At 41.1% G+C, this 20,170-nt stretch overlaps 2 long non-coding RNA genes across 2 annotated transcripts in view; one reads left to right on the top strand and one right to left on the bottom strand.

Moving 5' to 3' along the window:
* NPHP3-AS1 (NPHP3 antisense RNA 1) overlaps positions 1-20,170 on the bottom strand; it is a 152,462-nt gene that overhangs the window by 65,031 nt on the left and 67,261 nt on the right. The window contains exons 4-5 of the long non-coding RNA NR_002811.2: positions 15,567-15,647; positions 8,814-8,961 (exon numbers count right to left, since the gene is read on the bottom strand). This is a non-coding gene — a long non-coding RNA (NPHP3 antisense RNA 1). The remainder of the gene's footprint in view (positions 1-8,813; positions 8,962-15,566; positions 15,648-20,170) is intronic.
* The window catches only part of LOC105374115 (uncharacterized), a 28,010-nt gene continuing 12,305 nt past the window's right edge, over positions 4,466-20,170 (top strand). Inside the window, exons 1-2 of the long non-coding RNA XR_924500.3 lie at positions 4,466-4,633; positions 6,617-6,787. This is a non-coding gene — a long non-coding RNA (uncharacterized LOC105374115). The remainder of the gene's footprint in view (positions 4,634-6,616; positions 6,788-20,170) is intronic.

Genomic DNA, 20,170 nt, shown 5'->3' with positions numbered 1-20,170 from the left:
CTTTGAAAACTGGCACAAGACAGGGATGCCCTCTCTCACCGCTCCTATTCAACATAGTGTTGGAAGTTCTGGCCAGGGCAATCAGGCAGGAGAAGGAAATAAAGGGTATTCAATTAGGAAAAGAGGAAGTCAAATTGTCCCTGTTTGCAGACGTCATGATTGTTTATCTAGAAAACCCCCTCGTCTCAGCCCAAAATCTCCTTAAGCTGATAAGCAACTTCAGCAAAGTCTCAGGATACAAAATCAATGTACAAAAATCACAAGCATTCTTATACACCAACAACAGACAAACAGAGAGCCAAATCATGGGTGAACTCCCATTCACAATTGCTTCAAAGAGAATAAAATACCTAGGAATCCAACTTACAAGGGATGTGAAGGACCTCTTCAAGGAGAACTACAAACCACTGCTCAAGGAAATAAAAGAGGACACAAACAAATGGAAGAACATTCCATGCTCATGGGTAGGAAGAATCAATATCGTGAAAATGGCCATACTGCCCAAGGTAATTTACAGATTCAATGCCATCCCCATCAAGCTACCAATGACTTTCTTCACAGAATTGGAAAAAACTACTTTAAAGTTCATATGGAACCAAAAAAGAGCCCGCATTGCCAAGTCAATCCTAAGCCAAAAGAACAAAGCTGGAGGCATCACACTACCTGACTTCAAACTATACTACAAGGCTACAGTAACCAAAACAGCATGGTACTGGTACCAAAACACAGATATAGATCAATGGAACAGAACAGAGCCCTCAGAAATAATGCCGCATATCTACAACTATCTGATCTTTGACAAACCTGACAAAAACAAGCAATGGGGAAAGGATTCCCTATTTAATAAATGGTGCTGGGAAAACTGGCTAGCCATATGTAGAAAGCTGAAACTGGATCCCTTCCTTACACCTTATACAAAAATCAATTCAAGATGGATTAAAGATTTAAACGTTAAACCTAAAACCATAAAAACCCTAGAAGAAAACCTAGGCATTACCATTCAGGACATAGGCGTGGGCAAGGACTTCATGTCCAAAACACCAAAAGCAATGGCAACAAAAGACAAAATTGACAAATGGGATCTAATTAAACTAAAGAGCTTCTGCACAGCAAAAGAAACTACCATCAGAGTGAACAGGCAACCTACAACATGGGAGAAAATTTTCGCAACCTACTCATCTGACAAAGGGCTAATATCCAGAATCTACAATGAACTCAAACAAATTTACAAGAAAAAAACAAACAACCCCATCAAAAAGTGGGCGAAGGACATGAACAGACACTTCTCAAAAGAAGACATTTATGCAGCCAAAAAACACATGAAGAAATGCTCATCATCACTGGCCATCAGAGAAATGCAAATCAAAACCACTATGAGATATCATCTCACACCAGTTAGAATGGCAATCATTAAAAAGTCAGGAAACAACAGGTGCTGGAGAGGCTGCGGAGAAATAGGAACACTTTTACACTGTTGGTGGGACTGTAAACTAGTTCAACCATTGTGGAAGTCAGTGTGGCGATTCCTCAGGGATCTAGAACTAGAAATACCATTTGACCCAGCCATCCCATTACTGGGTATATACCCAAATGAGTATAAATCATGCTGCTATAAAGACACATGCACACGTATGTTTATTGTGGCACTATTCACAATAGCAAAGACTTGGAACCAACTCAAATGTCCAACAATGATAGACTGGATTAAGAAAATGTGGCACATATACACCATGGAATACTATGCAGCCATAAAAAATGATGAGTTCATATCCTTTGTAGGGACATGGATGAAATTGGAAACCATCATTCTCAGTAAACTATCGCAAGAACAAAAAACCAAACACCGCATATTCTCACTCATAGGTGGGAATTGAACAATGAGATCACATGGACACAGGAAGGGGAATATCACACTCTGGGGACTGTGGTGGGGTCGGGGGAGGGGGGAGGGATAGCATTGGGAGATATACCTAATGCTAGATGACACATTAGTGGGTGCAGCGCACCAGCATGGCACATGTATACATATGTAACTAACCTGCACAATGTGCACATGTACCCTAAAACTTAGAGTATAATAAAAAAAAAAAAAGAAAGAAAAATATGAACATTAGCTGAATTATAAACCTAAATGCAAAAGCTTCTAGTGTCTGCAATGCCAAGGAGAAGGATATGAGTCCTAGTTATCTAGGCCCAGTCAAGACAAAAATAACTAATCCAAGTTTCAACAGCCGTAACTATCAGCACCAAACATGAACAGAACACCCAGGGATGGAGCCTGAAGCTCAAGTGCAAGTGGCAGCTGGGACCAAGCACTCTCTAGCTAAGACCAGAGACGATCCAAGAGAAACTGAAGGGACACTTTTTTTGTCTCTGAGACTATCATGCCACACAAGTGACATTTTTTCTTTATTATACCCAAGTAGCATTTTGGAGAGGAAAAGAGGGATGAAGAAGAAATCTGAGATGCTGAGCATTTACATGAAGGGGCCACGTGGTAGAGTAACAGAAATGGCTACTGCCATCCCTTCTTTGAATCTATGCCCTTTGTAACATGACTTTGAAGCTCCTCCCATTGGGCAAATAATCCAGCAGACTGAATAGCAAGAGCAAAGGCCCTAAGGCAAGAAGGAGCTTAGCCGTGTTGAAGAAACACAGAGAAGGCCAGTGTTGCCGAGAAGAGGGTCAGGGGAGTGATATAAGGTGAAGTCTGAGAGGTAAGACAGCAACAGAACACATATAGCTATAACACATATAGCCTTTCAGACTAGGAAATCCCCTGTTAACAGCAGAAGGATCAAAACGTAAACCATGGTAGCCTGCTCTCCCACCGCTGTGTACAGCTGGACCTATTGTTAAAATATTAAAATGCTTTCATTCCAGTTGGTAAATAGCTATTGTGCTGATCTCCCCAAAGTGTCCCAACAGTTCTGGCCAATGATGCCCCTCCACCAGGACACTAAACCTCCCATGATCCTATAATTTAAGGTTTCAGGGCACATAGAGGCCTCTAACACTCTGATCAAGTGTCATGGCCGTATAAGTGATTAAGGATTTCCAACATCACTCCCAGGCAAAAGGCAGAGCATTTCTTTATCTACATCTTAATGAAATTCTGAACAAGCATTAATTCATTTAATGAATAAATATTCGTTAAACTCCAACTATGGGTCAGGAGGTATCACAGGCATTGAGGATGAGTGAGAGTAAACAAACCAGTTTCTGCCCTCGCAAAGCTTAGAGTGTAGCATTCAGGCAAATTATAGCCTTCAGGTAGCAACTTTTAGGCAGTGGTTCTCAACTTGGACTCCAGAATGCCGGCTGGGTTTGGTGGCTCATGCTTGTAATCCCAGCACTTTGGGAGGCTGAGGCAGGAGGATCACTTGAGGTCAGGAGTTTGAGATCAGCCTGGGCAACATAGCAAGAGCCCATCCCTACAAAAATTAACAACAAATAATGAAAAAGTACTGATGCTTGGGTCCCATTTCCAGAGGGTCTGATTTAATTGCTCTGAGGTGTGGCCAGGACGTTGGAAGTTTTTTAAGTTCCCCAGGTGATTCAATGTGCAGCCAGGGCAAAGAACCTCTCTCTTAGAGACATGTGATCTGATGTGGATAACAGATTGAATTTTTAGTAGAATCTACAGATGTAAACCAACGGTTAAGTTTTCGCTGCATGTTAACTAATAAAAAAAATCAAGATGAAAGTGATTTCCTTAAAGATCTTTGTCAAAGAATGCTAAAGGCTGTCTTTGGAGAACGGTGTTCTGTTAAAAGGGCAGTCCTGACCCAACATTAGCCAAGCCAACTAATTGTATTCTGCCAATATATAGCAGAACTCTGGGCTTTTTGAAATTGAATTCCTCAAGAGAAGGAATTTTAAATATGAACTCTCCTCCTACACCCCCTCCCTCCAGACTAGTACCTTCTCAAACTGCATTCCCCACCCAAAACTAGCTATCAGCCTGAGGAATAGGCATATGCTGAGAACTCCATGCCACAGGTAAGGATGACAGCCCCAGGGGTGAAGAACCAAGACCCAGGGTATTGAGACCACTTTTCAGATAGATTTCTTTACTCTCTGTTTTCCAGTTTCTTCCCTACACTGCTCATCAAGTGGCAAATGTTCAGGATGAAATAGAATCAGAAATACCTCCAAAAGGTTTGACCCAATGGAGAGTCCATGGGAACTATGGGAAGGGAAACATACCTCAAATGCTGGGCTGCAGCATAAGTATTTTCTAGATTCTCTGGGTCACAGAGAGGCAGCAAAGCACATTCTAGGGCAACAAATATGCTCAGTGCTAGCTCTTGATTATTCATTCTAATGAAGGGGAACAATCATGTGGGCTTTCCAAAATAGTGGCTGCTTTTAATGAGTGGTTTGGCTTTGACTCTGGAAATCACCACTAGGTAAATCATAAAAGCACCCAGCAAGTTTGAGCATATTTCAGCTGGGCAGTGTGGAATGTGGCCAGGAATGTGAGACAGAATGTGGCTCAGGATTTCAAAATTCACTGGAAAAAAACTCACAAAACAGAAACATTTCAGTGGAAATAACAGAGTCCTATATTATGATTTAGACAACAAGAATTCTTGCCTCTGATCTATTGTGACCAAGTGTGTCATCTTAGGTAAGTAACTTTTCTGTGCTTTGGTTTCCTCATTTTTAAAATGAGGGCACTGGACTTAAATGCTCTCCAGTAGGATGGCTGGGTAAAATGGAATTTCATATCTCTGTGTGAGAAAGAAAGAAAATGCTGAGATGTAGAGCCTGAAGATTGCTGGGGTGAGAAGGGGAGTAGTCAAATTTGCATTTGGAGCCCAAGACTCTCCTAGAGGAAGGGATCAAGACCCCTACACTTTGTCTCTAAAATTAAAACTAGTCAGGGTGGACTAGGGGTGGCCCTGAGCAAGGCCTGGAGTCAGGAAAGGGCCACGAGATCCTAAGATAAGCCCTTACCAAAGAGAAAACATAGGATCACCAGTCCAGCCTCTGCAGACTTAGGCGTTTGAAAAGGAATGTGCTTTGGGAGCTGTAAGACAGTGCACACTGGGTCTAGACCCAACCCGAGAATCAGATGGCAGATTTGAGTCCTAGAGAAGTGGCTATGTGAGTGAATTGAATCTAATGATGGGAGGCCAGGCCAGGTCTCACAGGAGCCCTCTCCTGGCTGAACTTAACCAAAGGCTGGGGATCTTCTCTCTGGCTCCCTAGAAAAGAACAGTCGTCCAAGGCAGGGTCTACACAAGCAGCTTCCTCTGGAGCCACCAGCTTCTTGTGGGGCATCAGAGACACTCCTGGTGTCTGAGTTGAGACATCAGGATTTGAAATGGAAGTGGCCAGAACTGGCCCTAGGAATATCAGGGGAGGGGGCTCCCAAAGAAAAGCAGTTTCCTGTTCATTTGGCATGTGAGGCTCACGTGTTGCACTTTGGGACCTCTCCTGAGCAGTGCCTTATTTGCATTCCAAACTATAAACTGCGGCACTCTGGTTACAGACCTATAAGAACCCTTAGAACTCTAATATGCTATGATTTTAGTGTATGATTCAAAACAGCACTTAAAGACTGACTTTAATTCAGAGTTAACACATAACTCTATCCATAAGTTTGTAGTCACTGGTACTCCTGTCTAAAAAAATGAGAAGTGCAAACTGAGAATCCATCTAGGATCATTAAATAGCTTAAAATTTACACAGAAGTTGTATCACTGCTAACAATCCATGAATTCCTCTAAGTACAGTTATTAAAGATTGTTAAAGGCCAGGCGCGGTGGCTCATGCCTGTAATCTCAGCATTCTGGGAGGCCGAGGTGGGCGGATCACGAGGTCAGGAGATGGAGACCATCCTGGCTAACATGGTGAAACCCCGTCTCTACTAAAAATACAAAAAAATTAGCTGGGCGTGGTGGTGGGCGCCTGCAGTCCCAGCTACTCGGGAGGCTGAGGCAGGAGAATGGCGTGAACCTGGGAGGCGGAGCTTGCAGTGAGCAGTGAGCGTAGATTGTGCCACTGCACTCCAGCCTGGGCGACAGAGCGAGACTCTGTCTCAAAAAAAAAAAAAAAAAAGATTGTTAAAGTGAAATCTGGGAATACAAAAGATAATTATACAGTTGGATATCTAATCTAAAAGTCTTTCTGATAGAGGGCAGAATTGTGTGTGCAAAATACAAGGGCGTTACGCTGAAATTGATGCGGAAACACATGCTTGCTTTAGTAAAAGATGATCATTACTGTTTAATATTGCCCTAACCAATAAACATCAGCATTGTAAATGGACATACCATCCGACCCAGCAATTTTACTTGTAGACATTTATCCTGATGAAATGTTGCACGTATATACAAAATAAATGTACAAGAATGTTCACTGTTGCAACACGGATAGCAGGGAAAAAATGGGAAGAATTAAAATGCTCAATAATAAGAGATTAGTTAAATAAATTATCAGTAATCCCTATGCTGAAATACCAGAAATAGTCAAATATATCTTTATAGCAAATAAATAATTTTACATTAACTAATGTTTCTATCGCTTACAGTTTGTTTGTTTACCCTACATCTGCTTCCAGGTTTAAAACAAATATATATTGAAGCTAAGCCCTTCTTTGTTTCAGGGAGGTATGGTCGTGAAGAGCACCGATTACAGAAGGAGAATTGCAACTGCTTTGCACCAAAGACAAGAGGCCAAAAGAAAGGCATTCCTCATCTTGAAAGCCTAGTTTTGAAATCCCAGAGCCAAAATTTGGACCCAAAGTGATAGATTTTTGAAAGCCTGCATGTTGAAGGTAAAGCCATTATATTTGGTTAATTCATAAACTTACTTAGGCAAAAAAAAAAAAAAAAAAAAAAAAATCCCTAAATGAATAAGGAGCCAAGAGAGTAATGAGAGCAGTGGAAGGGGTTTCACTCTGATGCCAGTTGCTGTATACTGGGTGAACTTGAACATCAGTGTTCCTAGCCTCTCAGGTCTCTGAGAACAGATAACAAAGTCTAGGTCTTGAAAGTCTAACATGACTCCCAACCCCCACCTCCACTGAGCAAGTCTCCAAAGGGCTGCATTTTCAATATAAGGGTAAACTAGAAATAAACCTAACCCCTAGTTTCTTTTAAAGGAGGCTTTAAAGAAAATTGCCCAGACTCAAACCTTGATGGTGGGAGGAAGGAGAAAAATGTCCCACATGAGCATTCATAATCATGAACCATCCCTTACAGGAATTTACAACAAAATTCCGAAACTTGTAAGCTGATAATTCACAGTAGTTCCAGAGCAGTAGTATCACCAAGGAATTTAATAAAGGCAGATAAACTTTCTTTCTGGAGGAACTCATCTTCATCCTAGGCCTCAAAAAAATTTTCACAGATCAAGAAAAATAAACGGTATAAATAAATAAATTTTTAAAACCATAAAACAACCAAGGAAACAAGGTACCAGGAGAGAGGACCAGAAATAAAATCAGCAGCAAAATGAAATCCATGTAAAACTTCCAATGTTAGAGTCATTATGTAAGTTTTATATTTGAAGGACAAAAGAAAGGCTTGAAAATATGAGGAAAGAAAAAGTAGGCTTGATACTGGAATAAGTCTCTGAGAAGGGCAACTCACCCTGTTCTCATCTGTGGTATAAACCCCAAAGGGGAAAAATAAAACACTTGAATAATCTGGAAAACCCAAAAGTAACCATCTTGTGTGGGGAGCACACAAAGATTTATGTAATATATATTTATCTACCAGTCCTCCAGCTCGCCTCCCCTTAGGCGAGAAGAGTTAGACCCAAGCTATAAATGGAAGCTATTCAAAAACCTCAACACCTGTACATTGGAATGTTTTATGTTACAGTTAGACTTCCATAAATAAGAAAATCAGTTGATGCATGCTGAAATCGAACCATGAGATTTCTTGATTTTTTCTTTCCCTTGTGAGTGCACAAAACCGAAACTAAACAGCAAAACATAACTACCAGGATCTAATAGTTAATGAGAAGATACTGTTTCAGCATACCAGCAATCACATTTCCACTCTATTCATGGAACATGACCAATCCAAATAATAAGGTCAACTACTGCCTTTATGAATAACATTCCAATGTTAGCAGCCTTACCATTGGGTTTATATATATAAGAATCACAATTTTCACAGTTCTTTAAAACCTTGCTATTCAAGCTATGTTCCTTGGATAGCAAAACAGGCATCACCTGATCAAAAAGCAAAATCTGAGCAGCAACTCGGAGGCTCAGGTAGGAGAGCAGCGCTTGAGTCCAGGAGTTTGAGACCAGCCTGAGCAACATAGCAAGACCCTGACTCTACAAAAAAATTAAAAAATTAGTCAGATGTAGTGGCACATGCCTGTAATCCCAGCTACATGAAAGGATGAAGCAGGAGGATTGCTTGAGCCCAGGATTTCTAGGCTGCAGTGTGTTATGATTGTGCCAATGCACTCCAGCCTGAATGACAGAGCAAGACTCTGTCTTTAAAAAGAAAAAAAGAAAGAAAAAAATGTAGACTCTCAAGAGCCACCCCAGAACTACTAAACTAGAACCTGCATTTTAAAAAGATCTTCAGATGATTTGTATGCCTGTTCAAATTTGAGAAGCACTGGTCTAAGTATTCTCACTGTCCTACCTAACAGGTGGTACACATGCTTTTAGAGAAATAAATGTGTATGTATACATTTTTTTAACTTTTCGTTTTGAAATAACTTCAGACTTATGAAAAAGTTGCAAGATAATAACAAGTTTGGCCCCAAATATGTACATCTTCCATACTATAGTACAATTATCGAATAAGAACTGATTCAATAGTATTATTACAGACCTTATTTAAATTTCACCAAATGTCCTACTGATGTCCTTTTTTTGTGGTCCAGGACTCAATCCAGGATGACACATTGCCTTTAGTTATCAAGCCTCCTTAGTCTCATTAATCTGCAACAGCCTAGAGCAGTGCTGTCCAGTTGAACTTTCTGTGATGATGGAAAAATTTTATAACTGCACTGTTCGATACAGTGGCTACTAGCCATACATGTGGCTACTGCAACAAAGAAACTGAATGTTTAAATTGTAATTAATTTTAATTAATGTAAATTTAAAGTTAAATAGAGGATCTTATTGTTTTAACATACAAAACAAATATTTCAGCTGGGAAAACCCAGTTCCAAAATCTCTCTAAAGCAAAGCATAATGAACAGTCCTTTCATAAGCATGCAAGGGGAGCACTTAAACAAGCATAGTCATAATTCTGCTTGGCAGGGCACACAGACTCTTCATTTAGCCCAATCCAGTCTCTCTTACTGCGCCACCTGCCCTATCGCTCCACCACCAGTGCCCCCACTGCCCCACCACGATGAACCCCTCACCATGCCTTGAATGGTACCAGTCAATCACATGGCCAGGCCTTTACTCATGGATGGGTTCCTCTACCACATAGGCAAGGTGACCATGTAATGCATTAATCAGCTGGTGCTCATTTGATCAAGAAAAGGAATGCTGTTAATAATTACATGGAAATAACCTGGACTGTTCTGGGAAAACAGGGACACCCTACTTATGGATCTTTCCCCCCAGGTAAACTCATTTTCTCATGGGCCAAAGACACATGTCCACTTTTAACAGATAAGAATTTTGTGCCAGTTTTCAAAGGGAATGCTTCCAGTTTTTGCACATTCAGTATGATATTGGCTGTGGGTTTGTCATAGATAGCTCTTATTATTTTGAGATACGTCCCATCAATACCTAATTTATTGAGAGTTTTTAGCATGAAGCGTTGTTGAATTTTGTCAAAGGCCTTTTCTGCATCTATTGAGATAATCATGTGGTTTTTGTCTTTGGTTCTGTTTATATGCTGGATTACATTTATTGATTTGCATACATTGAACCAGCCTTGCATCCCAGGGATGAAGCCCACTTGATCATGGTGGATAAGCTTTTTGATGTGCTGCTGGATTCGGTTTGCCAGTATTTTATTGAGGATTTTTGCATCAATGTTCATCAAGGATATTGGTCTAAAATTCTCTTTTTTGGTTGTGTCTCTGCCCGGCTTTGGTATCAGGATGATGCTGGCCTCATAAAATGAGTTAGGGAGGATTCCCTCTTTTTCTACTGATTGGAATAGTTTCAGAAGGAATGGTACCAGTTCTTCCTTGTACCTCTGGTAGAATTCGGCTGTGAATCCATCTGGTCCTGGACTCTTTTTGGTTGGTAAGCTATTGATTATTGCCACAATTTCAGCTCCTGTTATTGGTCTATTCGGAGATTCAATTTCTTCCTGGTTTAGTCTTGGGAGAGTGTATGTGTCAAGGAATTTATCCATTTCTTCTAGATTTTGCAGTTTATTTGCATAGAGGTGTTTGTAGTATTCTCTGATGGTAGTTTGTATTTCTGTGGGATAGGTGGTGATATCCCCTTTATCATTTTTTATTGCGTCTATTTGATTCTTCTCTCTTTTTTTCTTTATTAGTCTTGCTAGTGGTCTATCAATTTTGTTGATCCTTTCAAAAAACCAGCTCCTGGATTCATTAATTTTTTCAAGAGTTTTTTTTTGTCTCTATTTCCTTCAGTTCTGCTCTGATTTTAGTTATTTCTTGCCTTCTGCTAGCTTTTGAATGTGTTTGCTCTTGCTTTTCTAGTTCTTTTAATTGTGATGTTAGGATGTCAATTTTGGATCTTTCCTGCTTTCTCTTGTGGGCATTTAGTGCTATAAATCTCCCTCTACACACTGCTTTGAATGTGTCCCAGAGATTCTGGTATGTTGTGTCTTGGTTCTCGTTGGTTTCAAAGAACATCTTTATTTCTGCCTTCATTTCGTTATGTACCCAGTAGTCATTCAGGAGCAGGTTGTTCAGTTTCCATGTAGTTGACCGGTTTGGAGTGAGTTTCTTAATCCTGAGTTCTTGTTTGATTGCACTGTGGTCTGAGAGACAGTTTGTTATAATTTCTGTTCTTTCACATTTGCTGAGGAGGGCTTTACTTCCAAGTATGTGGTCAATTTTGGAATAGGTGTGGTGTGGTGCTGAAAAAAATGTATATTCTGTTGATTTGGGGTGGAGAGTTCGGTAGATGTCTATTAGGTCCGCTTGGTGCAGAGCTGAGTTCAATTCCTGGGTATCCTTGTTAACTTTCTGTCTCATTGATCTGTCTAATGTTGACAGTGGGGTGTTAAAGTCTCCCATTATTATTGTGTGGGAGTCTCTCTTTGTAGGTCACTCAGGACTTGCTTTATGAATCTGGGTGCTCCTGTATTGGGTGCATATACATTTAGGATAGTTAGCTTTTCTTGTTGAATTGATCCCCTTACCATTATGTAATGGCCTTCTTGGTCTCTTTTGATCTTTGTTGGTTTAAAGTCTGTTTTATCAGAGACTAGTGTTGCAACCCCTGCCTTTTTTTGTTTTCCATTTCCTTGGTAGGGATGCCCTCTCTCACCACTCCTATTCAACATAGTGTTGGAAGTTCTGGCCAGGGCAATTAGGCAGGAGAAGGAAATAAAGGGTATTCGATTAGGAAAAGAGGAAGTCAAATTGTCCCTGTTTGCAGATGACATGATTGTATATCTAGAAAACCCCACTGTCTCAGCCCAAAATCTCCTTCAGCTGATAAGCAACTTCAGCAAAGTCTCAGCATACAAAATCAATGTACAAAAATCACAAGCATTCTTATACACCAATAACAGACAAACAGAGAGCCAAATCATGAGTGAACTCCCATTCACAATTGCTTCAAAGAGAATAAAATACTTAGGAATCCAACTTACAAGGGACGTGAAGGAACTCCTCAAGGAGAACTACAAACCACTGCTCACTGAAATAAAAACGGATACAAACAAATGGAAGAACATTCCATGCTCATGGGTAGGAAGAATCAATATAGTGAAAATGGCCATACTGCCCAAGGTAATTTATAGATTCAATGCCATCCCCATCAAGCTACCAATGCCTTTCTTCACAGAATTGGAAAAAACTACTTTAAAGTTCATATGGAACCAAAAAAGAGCCCACATCGCCAAGTCAATCCTAAGCCAAAAGAACAAAGCTGGAGGCATCACGCTACCTGACTTCAAACTACACTACAAGGTTACAGTAACCAAAACAGCATGGTACTGGTACCAAAACAGAGATATAGATCGCTGGAACAGAACAGAGCCCTCAGAAATAACGCCGCATATCTACAACTATCTGATCTTTGACAAACCTGACAAAAACAAGCAATGGGGAAAGGATTCCCTATTTAATAAATGGTGCTGGGAAAACTGGCTAGCCATATGTAGAAAGCTGAAACTGGATCCCTTCCTTACACCTTATACAAAAATTAATTCAAGATTGATTAAAGACTTAAATGTTAGACCTAAAACCATAAAAACCCTAGAAGAAAACCTCGGCAATACCATTCAGGACATAGGCATGGGCAAGGACTTCATGTCTAAAACACCAAAAGCAATGGCAACAAAAGCCAAAATTGACAAATGGGATCTAATTAAACTAAAGAGCTTCTACACAGCAAAAGAAACTACCATCAGAGTGAACAGGCAACCTACAAAATGGGAGAAAATTTTCACAATCTACTCATCTGACAAAGGGCTAATATCCAGAATCTACAATGAACTCAAACAAATTTACAAGAAAAAAACAAACGACCCCATCAAAAAGTGGGCAAAGGATATGAACAGACACTTCTCAAAAGAAGACATTTATGCAGCCAAAAGACACATGAAAAAATGCTCATCATCACTGGACATCAGAGAAATGCAAATCAAAACCACAATGAGATACCATCTCACACCAGTTAGAATGGCGATCATTAAAAAGTCAGGAAACAACAGGTGCTGGAGAGGATGTGGAGAAACAGGAACACTTTTACACTGTTGGTGGGACTGTAAACTAGTTCAACCATTGTGGAAGTTAGGGTGGCGATTCCTCAGGGATCTAGAACTAGAAATACCATTTGACCCAGCCATCCCGTTACTGGGTATATACCCAAAGGACTATAAATCATGCTGCTATAAAGACACATGCACACGTATGTTTATTGCGCCACTATTCACAATAGCAAAGACTTGGAACCAACACAAATGTCCAACAAAGATAGACTGGATTAAGAAAATGTGGCACATATACACCATGGAATACTATGCAGCCATAAAAAATGATGAGTTCATGTCCTTTGTAGGGACACGGATGAAATTGGAAATCATCATTCTCAGCAAACTATCGCAAGGACAAAAAACCAAACACCACATGTTCTCACTCATAGATGGGAATTGAACAATGAGAACACATGGACACAGGAAGGGGAACATCACACTCTGGGGACTGTTGTGGGGTGGGGGGAGGGGGGAGGGATAGCATTAGGAGATATACCTAATGCTAAATGACGAGTTAATGGGTGCAGCACACCAACATGGCACATATATACATATGTAACTAACCTGCACATTGTGCACGTGTACCCTAAAACTTAAAGTATAATAATAAAAAAAGAAAAAAGAATTTTGTTCCCATGGAGCTTTAAGCAAATGGAGATAACGAATAAGAGAGCAAAGAAGTTAATGAACAAGATCATTAAAAATAGGTAAAAAAAAAACTGGGTGAAGTAAGGCAGAATGTAGGGGAAGAGCAGTCAGGAAGACCTGCTTGAGGAGATGTCCTCTGGCTGGAGATCCTTTTTTTTTTTTTTTTTTTTTTTGAGATGGAGTCTCACTCTGCTGCCCAGGCTGGAGTGCAGTGGTAAGATCTTGGCTCACCGCAACCTCTGCCTCCTGGGTTCAAGCAATTCTCCTGCCTCAGCCTCCCGAGTAGCTGGGATTACAGGCATGTGCCATCACACCTGGCTAATTTTTGTATTTTTAGTAGAGACAGGGTTTCGCCATGTTGGCCAGGCTGGTCTCGAACCCCTTACCTCAGGTGATCTGCCTGCCTCAGCCTCCCAAAGTGCTAGGATTACAGGCATGAGCCACCATGCCCGGTGGAGATCTTAATGTCCAGACAGGGCTGGACATGCTGAGATGTGAGGGCAGAGTGGTCCTGACAGGAGACTCATAAGGTGAAGCCCATGAGGCCTTTGCTGGGTTGAAGGAACAAACCCCGGAAAGGAGCATCCACTGTCATTTTTAAGCAAGGGGATGGCATGATCTGATTCATAGTTTAGGGAAAGGAATCAGAAAGAAGGAGACTATGAAGCCAAAAACAACTGAGGGAGAGGATGGATGATGTGTCTATAAGAAAACAAAATTAGTAAAGGCAGGAGAAGGGCATTGGGCACACTGGAAAAAACAATCCTTGTAGCTGCTCCAGACTAGAGGTATACTGAGAATTGACAGCACCAGGACTAGCTCACATGGAGGCAGAGGAATTTTCCTAAAGCGGCAGGGAGATAGGGGTGAATAGAAAGAAGACCTGAAAGTGGAGAAATGTAGCCTATTCAAGGCAAGGCTAACACAGAATTTACCTTTAAACATATTCATTAGGATTAGAATTTATCTCAGGTTAAGAAAAGCTCCCTGGGAATTGAGCTGACTTGATACTTTAAGTAGAAGAGGTAATTTGGGTGGTTCGATATTTCCTCTGCAGAAATGCTCCAGAGTGATGACTCCTTTGCAATTCCATATCATTGGGGCTTTGTATTGTGTTCCATTCATCTGTGTATCTGTCCTTTTACCAATAACAATGTTTTGATTTGTAAAGACTTTATAAATGCTTAGTTTAAGAATAAGTCTTAAAATCAGACAGTGTGAGTCCTCCAACTTTCTTCTTTTTCAAAATTATGTTCCCTACTCCGCAATTCTGTCTTTTAAAATCTTGTTTTAATCTTGGTGAGAATTTTTTCATATTTACTACATATAGCTGGTATATTTATTTTAAGTGGGAAATGGAAAATTTTTAAAAGAAGAGCTGTTAGAAATACTTGGGCTGCAAGTAACAGAATCCTTCATTTCAATGCCTTAAACAAAGAGGGCTTTATGTTTCCTTGCATAAGAGAAATCTGAAGTCAGGTGTCTGCTAGCATTGGTTCAGTGCTTCAATAATGTCAGGGTCCACTTCTCTGTGGGTCTTTTGGCCTCTCTCTCATAGTCACAAAATGGCAGTGATATGGATTGGAAATTTGTTCCCTCCAAGTCTCCTGTTGAATATGACCTCCAATGTTGGAGTTGGGACATGGTGGGAGGTGTTTTGGTTATGGGGGCAGATTCCTGATGAATGTCTTCATGCCCTCCTTATGGTAATGAGTGAGTTCTCCCTCTGAGTTCACATGAGATCTGGTTGTTTAACAGAGTGTGGTGCCTTCACCCACCCCTTGCTCCCCCTCTTGCCATGTAACACTGCCTGCTCTTCCTTCACCTTCCACCATGATTGTAAACTTCCTGAAGCCCTGACCCAGAGCAGGTACTGATGCTGGCACCACACTTCTTGTACATCCTGCAGAACCATGAGCCAAAATAAAACTTTTTTCTCCATAGAGTACACAGTCTCGGGTATTCCTCTATAGCAATGCAAATGGATGAATTCAGGCAGCTACGGCTGCTATCTTATCAATTTAAGGTAGGAAAAAAAGGAAAAATAGGGGAGGGGTAACTTACGTCTCCTTGTCCAAAATTGTGTCAGATGACCTCCTTTGGCTACAGGAGAGGCTAGGAAAGTGAGTACTTTTGTTTTTCAGCCTACAAAATGACAGAGGTTAGAAAGAAAAGGGTTTCATATGAGAGGTGAGAGTGCCAACCTGCAGCATCTGCCACAAAAATTGATGAGAAGTTATCCCCCCAAAGAAGCTTTTCATTAAATTCTTCCTCCACCCTAAAAAATCACTTCTTCCACCAGTGATAATGAATCCATCTTAAGCCACATTGCTTTCCTTCTCCACGTTGGATGGGAACCATCTCAGTGACTCCTGACTCTGCCTCTCCCAGTCATGAGAGTTAATTTTCCCCCAGCATTCTGCAGCACGTACGCAGTCTGTGAGAGTCAGAGAGACCAGCTAGAAAAATAAACCTAGTCTATTGCTAAAGAACAAGAGTGACATTATGATCAGGATACAGTCTAGCTCTCTTTAATAAATTTTCAAGGAAAGACTATTAGAATTCAATTCATGTCCATGAATTGCCCATTTCAGTCCTTGCATAGAAGAAACTGGGTATTTCTTCTTGTCTCTCATTCAATAAACATTTACAGGACTCCTATGTGCCAGGAGCTAAGGGTTTTTATTCTTTTTTCCTTTGTTATCGTTCCTTATCCTATTTTCTTGGATTATTTTTCTTTCCAAGTGTATGTGTAATATGTGTGTGTGTGAAGTTACAGACAAAATGTCAAGCCTGCAGAGTCAGGGCCCCATAACTATAGCTCCCTCCAGTCTCCTTCCAGGGCCATTAAGAGCACTGCTCACACCCGTTTGAGAAGGAAGGTCTGAGAAGGTACGAAGAATCAGGATGCAAGTGGTATCTGTCAGTAGTGCCACTTCTTACAACATTCATGTACTTATTTATGCATTTATTTATTCATAAATATTTGAGCCCATTTGGTAGATGTTGGGGACATTGTGGTGAACATACAGATATGGTCTCTATCCTCATTGAATTTATATTTGCTGTGGGGCAATGTTTTTGAAATATCAACCAATGTTATTATATTTCTCCCTTGAGGCAATGAGCAGAGAAAAAAGACAAGACTTCTTCTGTGTTAGGGGAATAGAAGTGATATTAGGCTACACAAAAATGTTACCATGAGCAGGGCTTCACCTCACACAAATACCCCACTAAACGAAAAAAAAAAAAATAGTGTGCGTTGAATGGAAGAGATGGGGAATTACTCTAGAAAGACCAGGGAGGACAGAAGGGAGCAATCCAGACCTGAAAGGGACAATGGATGAGCATAAGATGTGTCTCTGTCAAGGACCATAGTGAGGAGAGCTGTGGAACCAGGAACCTCATGGTAGCAAAGGGTGGATTTGCCAAGACATAGGGATCACCGCTTATCACCCACACCTGGGCCTATACCAATCGTTCTTTCCCTGGGCATCCAAAATCCATGCCTGCCTCTTCTTCCTGGGCATAGAGTTAGACTATATTTCCCAGCCTCCCTTGCTATTAGATGAAACCCTATTGTGAACCAGTGAGTTCTGGCCAATGGAATGTGGATAGAAGTGATACACACTTCTTCCTGTTTTGTCTATGCTCCCTCCATGCTCCCTCTTTCCTGTTCTGCCAGGTAGAGATGACAGGCTCTAAATCCCTAGGGGACAGCAAAACCAAAAGGTAGAAAAAGCTTGTGTCCCTGAGTCCCTGCTTGGAAGAAAATGACACAAGGTAGCCACCCTGATCACACATACCTGCATTGGACTCTTACTTGAGCAGAAGTGAACTTTTATGGTGTTAAGCCACTAAAATGTTGTAGTGTGTTACAGAAATTTTAGCCTATGCTAACAAATATTCCCAGCAACCACCCAGCTCAAGTAACACTTTCCTGTCCCTAGACTTAGTTCATACCTCAACCAACTTACCTCATGAAGACAGGTACCCCATTTGTAAAATACCAGGACACAGTACGTACCCACCCCACAAAAGGAGGATGGGACTCTCACAATCTACCCTGGCATTGTGATGGCAAGGAAGGGAAAGGTCCTGCTTGTGAGGCTAAACAGAATCTGGTTAAGATTTTTACTTTGAAAGAGTGATTACACACACAAGCGTTATACAATATAGAAGGAGAGAGAAACGGTAAACAAGTAAATGTAGAGTTCATATAGAATTACAAATCATGCTAAGCTCTATAGAGCAAAATTACAAATAGTGTAAAGAGAATAACATTTGGGATACAATTTATCTTTGCGTTGGTGAGTGAAGAGTTTTCTGAGGAAGCAACAGTTGAATTGAAACCTAAAAAGGGAATCAGACTCAAGCAGGTTAAGAGTTGGGGCAAGGACATTTTAGGAAAAAGGAGCAGCATGTGCAAAGCCCCCTGAGAAAGGAAGGAGGTAGGCTTATTTGAAGATCTGAAAGATGCCAGCAATAGCTATGACATATAAAGAGGGGAGGAGAGGTGTATGTGGTGGGAATGGAGAGATGGGGAGAGGCAAGTTCATACAGGGCCATGTAGGCAGTGTTCTTGAGTTTGTATTTTATTACAAGAGTCTAGAGGTGCATTGAGGAATTCTAAGCATGGATTATGGTCAGGATTGCTTTAAAAAAAAAATCAAACTGGCCAAGATGACAACTGGTTGGAACAGAAGCAAAAGTGGGAGGAGAGAGCTCATTTTGTGAGGCTATTTTAGAGTTCCAGGCAAGATAGAATGGTGTATGAACTTAGAGGGAAGGCAGCATGTATATGGGAAAAATGAATGTGTTTAAGATCTGCTTGAGAAGTTGAATGGAATAGCAGCTCTTGCATGCAATATCCTTAAACTCTACTACAAGACGGGAGAAGGTAATAAGTTGTGTTCGACAATGTTCAACCCATTATCTGTTGAGAGGATGCAGCAAACAACAGTAACAGTACCTTCCCCTATGTCAGAATCAGCACCATTTGAGCAGAAAAGTCTGGAGGAGATAGAGGTTACGGGGAAAGCTGGGCTTGAGTCAGAAAGCTGTAGCCCAATTGGGTGGGTGACCGTGTACTCACTCAAATATGTTGTACCAGAAGGGATAGAGGCTGATTAGCTAGCAACTTTGAAACCTAATAAATTAGGACTTTCCCCAGACAGGATCTAAGCACTATGGGGGAGGAAGTGGTTCTCTAATAATTTTATCTTTTGCCAAATCTTGTTAGTTATTAATAACAATAGCAAGAGAAAGAAGAGCTAATATTATAGAGCTGCTTGTACCAGAGTCCTGTGCTAAGGAAGGTGTATGTGTTCTCCCATTTAAGCTTATGAGAGCCCTGTGAGATGGGTACAACTGCCCTTGTTTACTAACACTAAGGCTTAGAGATTAGCACCCTGTCCAAGATCATATCTCTCGTAACTACAGTAGTTACTCAAACCCAGCTCTGTCCTGACTCCTGAGTCAAGGCTCCTACCAATGTAGTCTCGTGCTGTATGGAGGATTCCAAAGATGCTTTGGGGCTCAGCAGGGCAATGTCAGATGGGTACAGTCTGACAAGTCATTTATTTGCCACCTCCGTACCAGAACTAAAAGCTTCTAAAGTATACAGATTCTAGCCAGGCATGGTGGCATGTGCCTGTACTCCCAGCTACTCAGGCGTCTGAGATGGGAGGATCGCTTGAGCCCTGGGAGGTCGAGGCTGCAGTGAGCCATGATTGTGCTACTGTACTCCAGCATGGGTGACAGAGTGAGACCCTGTTTCAAGAAAAATGACAGATAGATAGATAGATAGATAGATAGATAGATAGATTCTATCTAAATAATAGTAGATGCTAGGATTATGCCTCTTTCAGCTAGCTGTCTTACTGTATCTGTTATCAGTCCATAACAATGTCCTATAAAAATTATAATGTACTGTTACAAATTTTTTTTCTTATTTGAAGCTGTATGCAATCCATAGTGATTTATCTTTTAGAATAAGGCAGCAATGGTTATAAGGCACTCACTTTACAGTAAGCGATCCTCCCATTTTCAAGATGATTAAAAAATTAAAAAACACAAATAAAGCATGTACAAGATTTTTAAAGTTAAACACACACACACACACACACACACACACACACACACACTACCATAGACTGGGTGGCTAATGAACAACAGAAATTTATTTCTCACAGTTCTGAGATTAGATGCCTGAGACCAGGGTGCCAGCATGGTGGAACTCTGGTGAGCTCCTTTTTCAGGGTTGCAGACTGCTGATCCTTGCTGTATCCTTTTATGGTGGAGAGCAGAGAGCAGTAAGCAGCAAGCTCTCTAATGACTCCTATAAGGGCATTAGTCCCATAGACCTCTTTTTTTTTTGAGACAGAGTCTCGCTATGTTGCCCAGGCTGGAGTGCAGTGGCACGATCTCAGCTCACTGCAAGCTCTGCCTCCCGGGTTCATGCCATTCTCCTGCCTCAGCCTCTCTAGTAGCTGGGACTACAGGCGCCTGCCACCACGCCCGGCTAATTTTTTGTATTTTTAGTAGAGACGGGGTTTCACAGTGTTAGCCAGGATGGTCTCGATCTCCTGACCTTGTGATCCACCCGCTCGGCCTCCCAAAGTGCTGGGATTACAGGTGTGAGCCACAGCGCCCAGCCCCCATAGACC

This window comes from Homo sapiens, chromosome 3 (genome assembly GCF_000001405.40).
Source record: "Homo sapiens chromosome 3, GRCh38.p14 Primary Assembly".
In the NCBI taxonomy this organism is placed as follows: domain Eukaryota; kingdom Metazoa; phylum Chordata; class Mammalia; order Primates; family Hominidae; genus Homo; species Homo sapiens.
The sequence above is the reverse complement of the archived record's forward strand: the minus strand, read 5'-3'. Positions and strand labels throughout refer to the sequence as shown.